The sequence below is a fragment of the Homo sapiens genome, chromosome 7 (genome assembly GCF_000001405.40).
Source record: "Homo sapiens chromosome 7, GRCh38.p14 Primary Assembly".
Classification (NCBI taxonomy): Eukaryota; Metazoa; Chordata; class Mammalia; order Primates; family Hominidae; genus Homo; species Homo sapiens.
In genome coordinates this window covers 123,128,154-123,144,254 of record NC_000007.14, presented here as the reverse complement: position 1 = coordinate 123,144,254, position 16,101 = coordinate 123,128,154, and the positions used below count along the sequence as shown (strand labels likewise).

General features: G+C 38.0%; 1 protein-coding gene across 9 annotated transcripts in view; it reads left to right on the top strand.

The window, feature by feature from the left end:
* SLC13A1 (solute carrier family 13 member 1) overlaps window positions 1-16,101 on the top strand; it is an 86,441-nt gene that overhangs the window by 55,717 nt on the left and 14,623 nt on the right. For 6 of the 9 annotated variants that reach the window (XM_047420754.1, NM_022444.4, XM_011516515.4 and 3 more), the window contains 3 exon segments: window positions 9,726-9,845; window positions 14,774-14,872; window positions 15,309-15,410. In XM_047420754.1, the coding sequence (XP_047276710.1) occupies window positions 9,726-9,845; window positions 14,774-14,872; window positions 15,309-15,410 (321 nt within the window). 9 annotated transcript variants of the gene reach the window in all.

The window sequence follows — 16,101 nt, the reverse complement described above, 5'->3', positions numbered from 1 at the left end:
ATTTTTTATCTCTATCCCTGCCCTTTCCTCTGAATTTCAGACTTACTTATCCAGCTGCATTCCAACATGACCACTTCAAAAACTGAGGGACATCTCAAATCATCACATCCCAAAACAGCATGCTTGATCTGCCACCTCTCCCCTGCCCTCCTGCCAATCCAACCTCCCCTCAGACTTCACCATTTCAACATATGACATCTTTTCTCCATTTCCTAGGTTTTATTCCAAATATATCTAAAATATCTTGCCTTCTGTTTATCTTCACATGTAAACTAAAATCTACTCCACTCTACCCTACTTCCGAGGGACTTTATCTTGTAATAGGTTTCCCTGTGTATTCCTCTTCTACTGCTACCTTACAAATGGCAATCAACTTAGTGGCTTAACACAGCACACATTTATTATCTCATTATTTTTGTGGGTCAACAGTTCAGGAAGAAAGGGGCAGAGCAAGATGGTGGAATACAGGGCTCCATGGATAGTACCCCGTGCAAGGACACCAATTTAACATCTATCTACATACAGAAAAGCACCTTCATAAGGACCAAAAATCAGGTGAGCACTCACAGTAGCTCCTTTTAATTTCATATCATTGAAAGAGGCACTGAAGAGGTAGAGAAAACAGTGTAAAATCACAGATGCTGCCCCTCCCTCATTCCCTGGCAGTGGCAGCATGTTGCAGAGAGCATTCTTGTGCTGTGGGGAGAGGAGGAGCCCAGCAATTGTAAGTCATTGAAATCAATGCTGTCCTGTCATAGCAGAAAGAAAAACAGGAATAAACTCAGCCCACACACCAAGGGAGCATTTAAACCAGCTGTAGCCAGAGAAGAAGTGCCCATCCCAGCAGTTGGAACTTGACTTCCCACAACCCTCACCACTGCGGGCTAAAGTGTTCTGGGGCCAAAAATAACTCTGAAAGGAAGTCTAGGGCACAAAAACTACAACTCCTAGACATCTTCTAGTGCTGAACTGTGCCTTGAGCCAGAGGACTTGTGTGGGGGGAATGTAGTCTACTGGGACAAAAGACAGGGCAGCTAAGGGAGTCCTCATATCCCTCTTCACTAACTCCAGGTTGCACAGATTGCAGCTCCAAAAAAAGACTCCTTCCTACTGCTCGAGGAGAGGAGACGAGAGGAGAGGGAAGAGTGGAGAGGACTTTGTCTTGCATCTTGGATACCAGCTCAGCCACAGCAAGTTAGGGCACTGGCCCCCTTTCCAGGCTCTAGCTTTAGGACGACATTTCTAGACACACCCTGGGCCAGAATGAAATCTGTTGTTCTGAAGAAAAAGACCAAGCCTGGGAGGTTGCATCACCTGCTAACTAAAGAGCTCTTCGTCAGCCGGGTGCGGTGGCTCACGACTGTAATCCCAGCACTTTGGGAGGCCGAGGAGGGCAGATCAAGAGGTCAGGAGCTCAAAACCAGCCTGGCCAACATAGTGAAACCCCATCTTTACTTAAAAATACAAAAATTAGCCGGGCATGGTGGCACATATCTGTAGTCCCAGCTACTCAGGAGGCTGAGGCAGGAGAATCGCTTGAATTTGGGAGGCAGAGGTTGTGGTGAGCCAAGATCGCGCTACTGCACTCCAGCCTCCATCAAAAAAAAAAAAAAAAAGTTCTTGCCCCTGAAAGCAAGACTCAGGAGTTACATCAAGAGCTTTGGGTGAGACTGTAGAGACTCTAAGAGTTGCTGGCTTCAGGTGAGAATCAGTGCATTCTTAGCTGTGGTGGCTGTGGGTTGAGACTCCTGCTTAACAAAAGCAGAGGGAAAACTAAAGAGGACTTTGGCTTGCACTTTAGGTGCCAGCTTGGCCACAGCGGTGTAGAGCACCATGCAGGTTCTTAAGGTCTCTGATTCCTTGACTTGGCTCTTGGATGGCATTTATGGACCTGTCCTGGGAAGGAGGGGGAGTCCTCTGCCCTGAAAGGTGAGTCCCAGGCCAGGCAGTATTCACACAAGCTGACTGAAGAGCCCTCGGACCTTAAGGGAACATCAGTGGTAGTTTGGCAATGCTCCCCATGGATCTGTGGTGGCAGTGGACACGGGGTGAGCTTTCACTGCCTTTGGAAAGGGGTGGGAGAGTGGGAAAGACTATGTCTTGTGGTTTGAGTGCTAGCTGAGCCACAGTACATTAGAACATCAAGCCTTACCCTATACATGAAAAATAAAAAGCAAGAAACTAAACCATATCACTAGAGAAACTCACCTTCACTAAAAGCTTCCTTTTATTGAAGGAAGTAGAGATAAAAGGAAGAAAAGACCACAAAACAACCAGAAAATAATAACAAAATGGCAAGAGTAAGTCCTTACTTATCAATAGTAACATTGAATGTAAGTGGACTAAACTCTCCAATCCAAAGACATAGAGTGGTTACATGGATAAAAAACAAGATCTATTGGACAGTTGCCTACAAGAAACACACTTACCCAACAAAGACATAAGTTGACTGAAAATAAAGAGATAGAAAAATATATTCCATGCCAATGGAAACCAAAAAGGAGCAGGAGTCACTATACTCATATCAGGCAAAATAGATTTCATGACAAAAAGTATAAGAAGAGACAAAGAAGGTCACTATATAATGATAAAGAAGTCAATCCAGCAAGAGGATATAACAGTTGTAAATATATATGCAACCAACATGGGAGCTCCCAGGTATATAAAGCAGATACTATTAGAGCTAGAGAGAGAGGGAGAGAGAGAGAGAAAGAGACCTCAATACAATAATAGCTAAAGACTTCAACACCCCACCTTCAGCATTAGATGGACCTTCCAAACAGAAAATCAACAAAGAAACATTGGACTTAATCTGTACTACAGGCCAAATGGATCTAATAGATATTTACAGAACATTTCATCAAATGGCTGCAGTATACACATTCTTTTCCTCAGCACATGGACCATTCTCAAGGATAGACCATATGTTAGGTCACAAAAGGAGTCTTAAAACATTCAAAAAATTGAAATAATATCAAACATCTTCTCTAACCACAATAGAATAAAGCTAATAATCAAATACAAGAGGAATTTTGGAAACTATAAAAGCATATGAAAATTAAACAATATGCTCCTGAATGACCACTGGGTCAATAAAGAAATTCAGAAGGAAATTGAAAAATTTTTTGAAACAGATGTTAATGGAAACACAACATATCAAAATCTATGGAATACAGCAAAAAACAGTACCAAGAGGGAAGTTTATAGCTCTAAGTGCCTACATCAGAAAAAAAAAGAAAAACTTCAAATAACCTAACGATGCATCTTAAAGAATGAGAAAAGCAAGAGCAAACCAAACCCAAAGTTAGTAGAAGAAAATATCAGAGTAGAATTAAGTTAAATTGAAATAAAGAAAACAATACCAAAAAAATCAATGAAAACTTTTCTTTTTTTAAAAAGTTAAACAAAATTGGCAAATCTTTAGCCAGACTAAGAAAGCAAGAGAAAAGATCCAAATATTTAAAATCAGAGATGAAAAAGGAGTAATTATAGCTGATACTGCAGAAATTCAAAGGATCATTAGTAGTGACTATGAGCAGCTATATGCCAATAAATTAGAAAACCTAGAAGAAATGGACAAATTCCTAGCCATGTACAATCTACCAAGATTGAACCATGAGGAAATCCAAAACCTGAACAAACTAATAACAAGTAATGAGATTGAAGCCATAATAAAATTCTTCCAGTAAAGAAAAGCCTGGGACCCAATGGCTTCACTGCTGAATCCTTCCAAATATTTAAAGGAGAAATAATATCAATCCTACTCAAACTATTCCAAAAATATAGGAGGGAATACTTTCAAACGCTATGAGTCCAGTATTACCTTGGTACCAAAACCAGACAAAGACACATAAACAAAGGAAACTACAGAGAAATATCCCTTATGAATATTGATGCAAAAATCCTCAACAAAATACTAACAAACTGAATTCAACAAATACATGAAAAAGATCATTCATCATGACCAAATGGCATTTATCCCTGGGTTGCAAAGATGTGTCAACATATGCAAATAAATGAATGTAATAATACATCATAACAACAAAAGGAAGGACCAAAACTATATGATCATTTTAATTTATGCTGAAAAAGCATTTCATAAAATTCAACATCCCTTCACAATAAAACCCTCAAAAAATTTGTAAAGAAGGAAAATACCTTAACAATTTTTTTTAAAAAAAGAAGCTGTATACGACAGATAACAGACCCACAGCTAGTATTATACTGAATGGGTAAAAAAACCGAAAGATTTTTCTCTAAGATCTGCAGCATGAAAATGATGCCCACTTTCAACACTGTTATTCAACATAGTACTGGAAGTTCTAGCTAGAGCAATCAGACAAGAGAAAGTTAAAAAGGCACCCAAATTGGAAAGGAAAAAGTCAAAGTATCCTTGTTTGCTGATGATATGATCTGATATTTGGAAAAAATGAAAGACTCCACCAAAAAACTGTTAGAACTGATAAACAAATTCAGTAAAGTTGCAGGATATAAAATCAACAAACAAAAATCAGTAGCATTTGTATATACCAACAGTGAATAATCAGAAAAAGAAATCAAAAAAGTAATTCCATTTATGACAGCCACAAATAAAACTAAGTACCTAAGAATTAACTTAATGAAAGAAGTGATAGATCTCTGTAATATAAACTATAAAACATGGATGAAAGAAATTGAATAGGACACCAAAAATGGAAAGATATTTCATGTTCATGGATAAGAATCAATATTATTAAAAGGTTCATACTACTCAAAGCAATCTACAGATTCAAGGCAATCCCTGTGACAATGCCAATGACATTCTTCACAGAAATAGAAAAAAAAAATCCTAAAATTTATATGGAACAACAAAAGAACCAGAATAGCCAAAGCTATCTTTAGCAAAAAGATCAAAACTGTAAGAATCACATTACATGACTTCTAATTACACTGCAGAGCTATAGTAATCAAGACAGCATGGTACTGGTATATAAACAGACACATAGACCAATGGAACAGAATAGAGAACCCAGAAGCAAATCCATACACCTACAGTGAACTCATTTTCGACAAAGGAGTCAAGAATATACACTGGGGAAAGGCAGTCTTTTCCATAAATGGTGCTGGGAACTCTGGATATCCATATGTAGAAGAATAAAACTAGGCCCTTATTTCTTGCCATAAACAAAAATGAAATCAAAATAAATTAAACACTTAAGCTAAGACCTCAAACTATGAAACTACTACAAGAAAACATCGGTTAAACTCTCTACTACATAGGTCTGGGCAAAAATTTCTTGAATAATACCCCACAAGCCCAGGCAACCAAAGCAAAAATGGACAAATAGCATCACATCAAGTTAATAAGCTTCTGCACAGCAAAGGAAACAATCAACAACATGAATAGATAAATCCACGGAATGAGAGAAAATATTTGCAAGTTTTCCATCTAACGAAGTATTAATAACCAAAATATATAAGGAGCTTAAACAACTCTATATGGAAAAATCTAATAATACAATTAAAAATGGGCAAAATATTTGGATATTTCTCAAAATAAGACATACAAATGGCAAACAGGCATATGAAAAAGCATGCAACATCACTGATCATCAGAGAAATGTAAATCAAAACTACAAAGAGATATCATCTCACCCCAGGTAAAATGGCTTTTATCCAAAAGACAGGCAATAACAAATGCTGGCAGGGATGTAGAGAAAAGGAAACCCTCATACACTGTTGGTAGGAATGTAAATTATTAGTACAACCACTATAGAGAACAGTTTGGAAGTTCCTCAAAAACTAAAATAAAGCTACCATGTGATTCAGCAATCCCACTGCAGGGTATATACCCAAAAGAAAGAAAATCAGTATTTGGAAGGTATATCTGCACTCCCATGTTTGTTGCAATGCTGTGTATATTAATAATAGCCATGATTTGGATGCAACCTAAGTGCCTATCAACGGATGGATGAAGAAAATGTGGTACACATACACAATGGAATACTGTTTAGCCATAAAAAAGAATGAGATCCTGTCATTTGCAACAACATAAATGGAAGTGGAAGTCAGTATGTTAAGTGAAATAAACCAGGTCCAGAAAGACATTACATGTTCTCACTGATTTGTGGGATCTAAAATTAAAACAAATGAACTAATGGTGATAGACAGTAGAAGAATGGTGACCAAAGACTGGGAAGGATAATAGGGTGTGGGCTGAAAGGTGGGGATGGTTAATGGGTACAAAATTGGCAGAAAGAATGAATAAGACCTAGTATTTGATAGGACAACAGGGTGACTATAGTTAATAATAATTTAATTGTACATTTAAAAATAACTAAAAGAGTATAATTGGATTGTTTGTAACATAAAGGATAAATGCTTGAGAGGATGGATAACCCCATTTCTATGATCTGATTATTACACATTGAATGCCTGTATCAAAACATCTCATGTACCCCATACATATATACACCAACTATGTACCCACAAAAATTAAAAATTTTAAGAATTTTTTTTAAAAAGACTCCAGGCAAAGGTTAGCTGGGTTCCTGCTCAGGATCTTACCAGGCTGACAGCAGGGTGGCAACTGGGCCTGTAACCTAGACAGGGGCTCAGGGTATTCCTCCAAGCTCATTGATGTTGTCAGTAGAATTTGGTTCCTTGCAGTTTAATTACTGAGGTGTCCATTTTCTTGCTGGCTGTTGGCATGGGGTCACTCTCAGCTTCTAAAGGCTGCCTTCAGGCCCTTGCTACAGGGCCCCTTCCTCTGACAACAGGATGTTTGCTTCTTCAGGCCAGCAGGAAACTCTCTTTTAAGGGCTCACCTGATTAAGTTAGGCCTACCCGGGATAGTTCGTGCTTTTGATTAACTCAGTTTCAATTGCTAGGGACTTTGATTACCTAAGTAAAATCCCTTCACTTTTTTCACTACGCAACCTAATCACAGGAGTGATATCTCATCATATTCACAGATTCCATCCACACAGAAGAGGAGATCGTACAAGGCATGTACACCAGGAGGCAGAAATTTGAGGCATATCTTGGAACTCTGTCTACCACATCCTGAACATCACACAGTTTCCACTCTTGTTGCCTTCAATCCTGAGAATGCATCCAGGAGCCATTCTGTTTTATGTCAATTACTAATTAGATCATGTCACGTTACTAACTTACTACGTTCCAATTAGTCCTTATTGCATTTGTAATAAAATCCGCATACTTTCGGACTGGCTACAAGGTTATACATGATCTGATCCATATTGACTACTTCTTTCATGTCACACTCACCTTCACTCATTACCCACAGCCACAGTGGCCTCCTATCTCTCCACAAATGTGACAAACTCATTCCTAACTCAAGGACTTTGTAATTGCTATTTCCTCCGTCTGGAATGCTGTTTCCCAGTTATTCACATGACTGGCTCCTTCTTGCTATTTAGGTCTCATCTAAAATGTTACCTTCTCTGATGGCATTACGTAAAATTTCCCCCTTCCCCAATCACTTTTTATTACATTATTCTGCTTTATTTCCTATTTTGTTATATGTTTACCTGTTTATTGCCTGTGTGCCCCACTTTAACATAAAGTTCATGAAAGCCCAGACCAGGTCAATCTCATTCACCACTATGTCCCCAGTAGCTTGGAGAGCACCTGGCACTTGGTAGATACCAAACAGTGTTAGGTAAAAGAAAAGGATTTCATCAGAATTAAGTGTCTTAGCATAGTTCATGACAGAAGAAATCTGTATTTGCTTTAGATGCATGTTTGAAGTCTCTTCACTTGCAGGACATGAGAAAGAGTGGGAAAAGGAACATCACAGCAAAAGAAAATGCTTAGAGTATGCCATATATTTCTTTATTTGTCCAAAATATTCACTCTAGGTATAAGGGTAAAGGTTATGATTATAGAGGCATAGTCCCATGTGGTTGTTTATATACTTCCATACTATTAAACTAAACAAAACATAACAATGAAGTTTAACTTTTTCAGGCTTTCATTTTTCTAAAACTATTCCTCCAGGCAAAAATTCTGAAAAGCCCATCTTCAGTCAAATACATTTTGCAGGATTCTCTCCAGTGGGTAGAGAGAGCTCTGCATACTGATTTCAAGATATGAGCCACAGATGGTGAAAAGTGAAATTAGGCTTGAGGACATGGGTCTAAACCTAATCCAAGCAGCATTTCTGAGTGTCGTTAGGTTGTACAGAATAACATAGGTCATCCTGTAATCCAAGTCTAATGTTAATGGGAAATCAGCTTTTCTCCCATTACTTTATTTTCCAATTGGAGACAACAAACATTTTTCAAAAATGAACAGTTTTCAATAGAGCCTCATGGATGTGATAAAGTATTTTTCCATTCATCACACTGCACATTTTCTAACATCTTTAATTATCATTTGTCACTTTCTAATTGCATAAATATGTAAGCTAATCTTTGGATCTCTTCAAGGTAGATAAAAATTATCCTCCAGTTGCTAAAGATAATTCTAGGGCCTAGGGAGATTAATAGCTTTTCATAAGCTCAAAGAAAATGATAGAAAACCTTAGAAATCTAGAGTTTTGAGGGCCCATTATTATTAGGAACCATCTTAAAGTAGAAAAAGAAACACTCTAAAGTGTATAAATTTGCTACATAGATATAACATGAAATATTTTATTACTTATGTGATTTTTAAATGACAAAGTACAAAGTATGATTAAAATAGAAAAAATTGCAAATCAATATTTCTATAAAGTTCTACATATTTTATGACTTCAAACATATTAAAATATGTTAATGATGTTTTTATTACTTCTGTATATCTTTGTTTTTCAGATTTTCAAATTTATCTTTATGTTATTGCTTTTAGAAAAAAAGTAAAGACAACTGTTTCTCAAATTTCCTATTGTTTCTCCATAGTAATAAAATAAATGACTATATAAGAATTTATTTAGTATTAGACATTTTAGAACAATGAATGTGAGGTTACCAAAGAAACTGTGCTAGTGTCTGATCTTATGTTGTTGTTGTTGTTGAGTTATTATGTGAGTTTAAAAGTTGAAAATAAGTAGGTAAGATAAAAAAGAAAAGTTGTTGATTTCTTCAGAACTTTTAATTATTTTTATCTGGCTCAGAGTTACTCCATTTGACTGTGCCCCAAAGCACCACCTGGTTCTAGGAAGAAAGAGCTACCATATACCTGGTTCGATGGTTGCTGTGCTTTGGGGTAGAAGAAACAGAAAGGAAAACAGCCATGGGAGATGACCTAGGCTGGATCAGAGTACTTTCACATGGCCAAGAATTCCAGCCACCAAGGTGAAATGGGAACAGACATTCAGTCCCACTAATTTTCACCTGTTCCCATTTCTGCTTATGTGTCTTTCCTTGTTCATATACTGATGGAGTATTGACAACAAAACGCAAATACCTCATGAACACCCATTTCTTGTGCATTTAATACTCATTAAAGCCAAGAACTGCACTGGGTTTTTTCCACAAGCACTTCCTTAAAGATGAAATATAGAGAACAAAAATCAAAACACATCCACTCTTGCTTATATGGGATGCAGTGATAATTATGCAGTTCCAGAATCAAGACAGGAGACAAGGGGTAAAAGTACTCTATTTAATGATGAGTATATTCCAGGACTTCCTTCTTGGACAGAAACACAGGAAAGAGGTGGACTGCTGCTTCCCTGTGACAATCAGAAAGGATTCCACCTGTCTCTCCATCCCTGAACACGTCTCCATGTTTTCACACAGACGCTATCCTGACTGTCGTTGCCTCAACTTTGGATCATGGTTTACGTTTTCCTTCCCAGCTGCCCTTATCATTCTACTCTTATCCTGGATCTGGCTTCAGTGGCTTTTCCTAGGATTCAAGTAAGTAAATATTTCATGTTAATAGGCTAAATAAAGGTGTCTAGGTTCCCAGTTCTTAGCTTCTTATCCGATGCTCTTTCCCCTATGCCATGCAGGCTACCTTTCTGCATTTTTGTTGCTCACAAAATTAATACACACAAATACGTATTTTAAGGATAAGGTTGAATCTCATTTAAATAATACTGGCTGTGGAACAGTTAATTAAAGATTAGAAAGGGGCCAGCTGCGGTGGCTCATGCCTATAATCCCAGCACTTTGAAAGGCCAAGGTGGGAGGATTGCTTGCGCAATCCTCTCTGAGTTCAAGAGCAGCCTGGACAATATGGCAAAACTCTGTCTCTACCAAAAACAAACAAAAAACCAATCAACAAACAAAACAACAAAAAAAACCTCCCCCCTAAAAGGACCATCCAGGCATGGTGGTGTGCGCCTCTGGTCCCAGCTACTCAAGAGGCTGAGGTGGAAGGATTGCTTGAGCTTGCGGGGTGGAGGTGGCAGTGAGCTGAGATCACACCACTGCACTACAGCCTGGGCGACAGAGAACGGTCTCAAAAAATAAAATGAATAAAAATAAAGATTAGGGCCAGGCACAGTGGCTCACACCTGTAATCCCAGCACTTTGGGAGATCAAGGCAGTTGGATCACGTGGTCAGGATATCGACACAATCCTGGTCAACATGGTGAAATCCCATCTCTACTAAAAAAAACACAAAAAATAGCCAGGTGTGGCGGGTAGTCCCAGCTACTCAGGAGGCCGAGGAAGGAGAATTGCTTGAACCCGGGAGGCGGAGGTTGCAGTGAGCCAAGATCTCGCCATTGCACTCCAGCCTGGATGACAGAGCGAGACTCTTGTCTCAAATAAATAAATAAATAAATAAAAATAAAGATTAGAAAACAAATAATCTAAGTGTCCTTTGAGTCCTAAGATGATAAGATATTGAAGGGCATAAATAACTCAATCTGATGTCCAACTTGTTAAAGGGGAATTTTAAGGTTTGCCCCTCCACTTGGTTTAATGTGGAGATTTCCTTGGGTTATCAAGCTACTTACACTGTGACCTATAGGGCTTCCTGCATCATGCTAGCACCAAAATTGACATCCCTTTCAATATACCAAGTACAATAAAGATCTGAGGATGTTCTCTGTGGAAAGAATATTGTTTTAGGAATTAGTAGACCAGGAATAAAATTCTGGCTTCTCAGAGGCCAGATAAGAGATCATTGCAAGTCCAGACCCATTCTCAGTCTCAGTGTCTTCAATTGTAAGATGATAGAATTTACCCAGAAAATCAGTAAGATCCCTTCCAAGGCTATAATTCTAACACATCTGGGCCTAAGTTGAACACATAGAAGTCAAAGTAAAAAAAAAAATGTTGACCAATAAAGACCGACTGATGCCACTAAAATGTCAAATACATGCATTCAAAGACAACTTCAACATATTATCTTGGCTGGGATCAAAGCTGGTAGGTCATAAGTACCAATGAGTTACATAACTTAGATGACAACCAGCATTTAAAATTATGAAGGGCTCCAGAGCAAAATCTAAAATGCAGCCTGTAAATTCTACTCATTTAACAATACTCCTTAAAGAAAGGTGAAGTCGCTGTATATCAAATCTTGAGTATTTTTTTTCCTGAAAAACAAAACAGCTCAAATTTATTTTTGTGGGGTTTTATTTAAATAATTTCAAGGACCTATGAATAAAACAGCATGTTATTCACCAAACCAGAGAGACTGAAGCCAGCTATGTGTACTTCCTTTGAAAAGTGAAATGCTTTGGGAGGCCAGGGGAGTGGATCTCCTGAGGTCAGCAGTTAGAGACCAGCCTGGCCAACATTGTGAAACCCCTTCTCTACTAAAAATACAAAAATTAGCTGGGCGTGGTGGCAGGTGCCTGTAATCCCAGCTACTCAGGAGGCTGAGGCAGGAGAATCACTTGAACCTGGGAGGCGGAGGTTGCAGTGAGCCGAGATCGCACCATTGCACTCCAACCTGTGTGACAAGAGCAAAAGTCTGTCTCAAAAGAAAAGAAAAGAAAAGAAAAATGCTGAAATCAGTAGTGGTTCCATGCCTGTGGCCATGGGTTCCATGCCTAGTAATACGAGGACTGACATTCTCCCCTCTTGATTCCTCTTTCTGCTTTTTCTCCAGAACTGCCATGGTTTTATTAGTAGTGAGAAGATGGTACTGATGATTAAAAAGATAATTCTATCCAGATTGTGGGAGCAGCATGTGGCAGTCCTCCTGCTGAAGCAAATGTGTAAAATGTCACTGATTTCAGCAGGTGGGCATCAATGGGGAGAGGCCAGCTGCATACTAAGTGCCCCTTTCAGGAAATCCAAGCCTTTGGGGACTATTCAATCATGCAGGTAGCAATGCAGGATACAGGAGATGGCAATCCCAAGTCAAAAGAGTCACAGGTTCTTCATTGCTACATTTAATGACTTTATCAAACATATATGCAACCATTGTCATTATTTTAAAATGGCACACCATTTAAAAAGGAGAAATTAAGAAGATAAAAGGCAAATATATTGAAATGTGCTCTTAATGAGGAAAAAAATCCCATGAAGTGCATACACTAGGCAAAGTCTGTAAATCATGATGAGTGGTATGTTTAAACAGTTCCCTTGGTGTCCACTATCTGTTAAACACTGCACAGATTCATGCTCCAGCTAATTTTTCAGTGTCCTTTTCTGTCTGCCAAGGTGTTTACCTCCAGAGATTTTAGATTGACAGACGGAAATTATCAGCCGCTCCCCTGGCAAACTAGCATACATTCTGATTAGTATGTTGGGTATTAACACAGTTAACTCACCCATTATAAATGATCCCAACATACCTGAGAAGAGGAGCTCATCTGTCAGTGCCATTCAATTATTTAAATGGAGAGTTTGATGCATTGTCATAGGCTTTGTCAGTAGCTTTGTGAAGGCATTAACCTTCATTTGTAGCAATGCCAATTTGGCTTTCGACTTAACTATTTATTGTCTGCAACCAAAATGATAAACTATATATGCAATGTACTGGGTGGAAAATTGTTTCTAAGGAGACTCATCTCCTTCTTTACTATGATTTTCTCTTCTACAGATTGCTCTCTAGGTGGCACATTAATTAGTTTCTTATAATAGTATTTATGTCATGACAAGGGGTAAAAGTTTGAGACTGGCACTAGTCAGTAATTTAACTGAGATTGTAAAAAGCAATTATTTCCTAATTGATCATAAATGTAGCACTGTCCATTCACTCATATTCAGGCATTGAAGTGTATGCATGAAGGTGATTATGAATGTATAGGCTTGCCCCAGATACTTTACGAAAGAAAATGTCCTTTCTGTCTATACTTACACAAAATGTAAACTAACTGAGCTGCTCATAAACATTCCAAGAGATAATCCATAAGAATCTAGCCATTTTTTCATTTAGTTCTTCCTCTGGAGGAATTTTTTTAAAAGTCTCCATCTAGAACAGTATTTCACAAAAACTGTTCAGTTTCGAAGACACTGGACTTCAAGACAGAAAATTAGTGAGGAAGGAGGTCACTAAAACAAGCAGCTGAAAACAATAAAAAGTGGCAGTTACTATTGGAAATAAACAGGAAAATTATGTTGTGGGTGCTATTAGGACATATGAGTAAAGAAACTTAAAGAAAAAAATGTAATAGAGTTTTACTTCTTTTTTAAATTTTATCTTAAGTTCCATGATACATGTGCAGGATGTGCAGGTTTGTTATGTAGGCAAACGTGTGCCATGATGGTTTGTTGCACCTATCAACCCATCACCTAGGTATTAAGCCCCACATGCATTACCTGTTTATCTTGATGCTCTCCCTCCCTCCACACCCCTGACAGGCCCCAGTGTGTGTTGTTCTTCTCCCTGGTTCCATGTGTTCTCCTTGTTCAGCTCCCACTTATGAGTGAGAACATGTGGTGTTTGGTTTTCTGTTACTGTGTTAGTTTGCTGAGGATAATGAATTCCAGCTCCATCCATGTCCCTGCAAAGGACATGATCTTGTTCCTTGTTTTGGCTGCATAGTATTCCATAGTGTATATGTACCACATTTTATTTATCCAGTCTATCATTGATGGGAATTTGGGTTGATTCCATGTCTTTGCTATTGTGAATAGTGCTGCAGTGAACATATGTATGCATGTATCATTAAAACAGAATGATTTATATTCCTTTGGGTATATACCAAGTAATGGGATTGCTGGGTCAAATGGTATTTATGGTGAGTTTATTTTACTTCTAAGACTAGGCTTAGTTTAGTCTCTGACCATGATCAGTCCCTGCACTAGTGTAAAACTCGAGTTTAGCATACTTTGTGAAAATTGATGGATCTGACCCCAACTGTCTCATACATTTGCCAAAGGTACTATTGGATTGATGTGTCAGGTATTTACTGTGTATGTTCAGAGGTAGCAGTGTTCAGAGATAGCAGGCCAAAGGAAACATCTATGACCACCTCACTGTCCTTGCCCTCAAATAATTTAACTAGTGGGCTAAAACTTACATGCGTGGAAGAATTAACAACCAAGATACACAATAAATACATTTTAAATATATAAGATCCAGTACGTAATAAAATGTTAGTTAGAGATAAGTGGCACATGGCAAAATTCCAATGGTACAAAATAACTTGGAAAAAGGAAGAGATTGGTAAAGGATGTCATGGAAAATATGCAATGAAAATTGAACACGAAAAAGTGAGCAAACCAGGCAAAAACAGAAAAGACAGAAAACATTCAAAAAAGGAGGTGGAGGTAGAGGTGAAAAGCACAGATATCTGTTATTAACGGGGAGATTCATATTGCATGAAGGGAGATTCATATTGCGTGAAGATGACAACGTTTTACAAAAATATCTTCCTTACAGGGAGGTGGTAGTAAAAGAATTTCTTGCTTACAGGCTTAATTATTCTTTGCAGTTTTAAGGAGATGTTCAAATGTGGCAAAACCAAAACAGTCCAACAAAAAGCTTGTGCTGAGGTGATTAAGCAAGAATACCAAAAGCTTGGGCCAATAAGGTAAGACAAACACACACACACACACACACACACACACACACACACACACACACACACAGAGAAGAGAGAAATGCTGTTTACACTGCAAGTAGCTGTTGAAAAGCAAACAAGCACATAATTGCTTGCAAGGTATTTATAACACTTGATTAGGGCCCCAAATTTGCTAAGCTATGGAGATTATAGACTATAACTCAACATGATAAAACACATACCCTGTCTAACTAAAATTTGCCAGGTAAAATGAAAAGAAGCTGAGAGACCCCAAAGAGGAGAAAGGGCTTTTTCAAACTGCACTGATGCTCTCAAATTATTGACACATCTAGTTCTTACAGTGTTTAGTGTTCTACTGCGATCATTCCTGACAATAGCTCAAGGAGTTTCTACAAATGTCCCGACTGAGAAAATAAGAAGTGATGCCATTGGAATTTTTCCACAGGTATCAAGAAATTGTGACCTTGGTCCTCTTCATTATAATGGCTCTGCTATGGTTTAGTCGAGACCCCGGATTTGTTCCTGGTTGGTCTGCACTTTTTTCAGAGTAAGCTTTGCACGTTATGTTTGTCAGCCCTTCCTGTTTTATACTCTGCTTCTCTCCTGTGTGGTTCCTGTAATTCTGAAAGATTGGATGAGATATTTTTCTTTCTTTCCCTTGAAAAGATATTTTAAGTTCTAATCTTTTCAGGAAAAAAATTATAAGGAATGAAATCTAGGATAAGAGCACAGAAAGAATAACCATATTACTTACTCTGTTACTGAAAGGCAAAGTCCATTAGACAAAATTATTCCCATCCCTACAAAATTCCCATCCCTACAAAATTATTCCCATCCCTGAAATATAACAGCACAAAGGCTATGTTCTGTGGTGGTTGGGAGCATAGATTTCAGAGCCACACTGCTTGGGTTCCTTTCCTGACTCATCCCCTTACTTTGGACAAGTCACTTAATTCTCAGGGTCTTCATCTGTAAGATGGAGGTAATTATAGCATTTACAATAGTGCTGGACTTCTCCCTATTGGAAGTGCTATACTAATGTTATTATGTGAAGTAAATACCACTCAATGCCTCTTAATAATCTGGTATAAATTCATATTATGTGATTTTTACCCACTTTGTTTTTTAATTCTATGGAGGACTATTTGTTTGGTGTAGTATCTTGTCTTTTTTCTTCATTTATTTACATTTTTGCACTAGTTCACTACAAGTTCAGCCCAGCCTCCATTTCATAGATA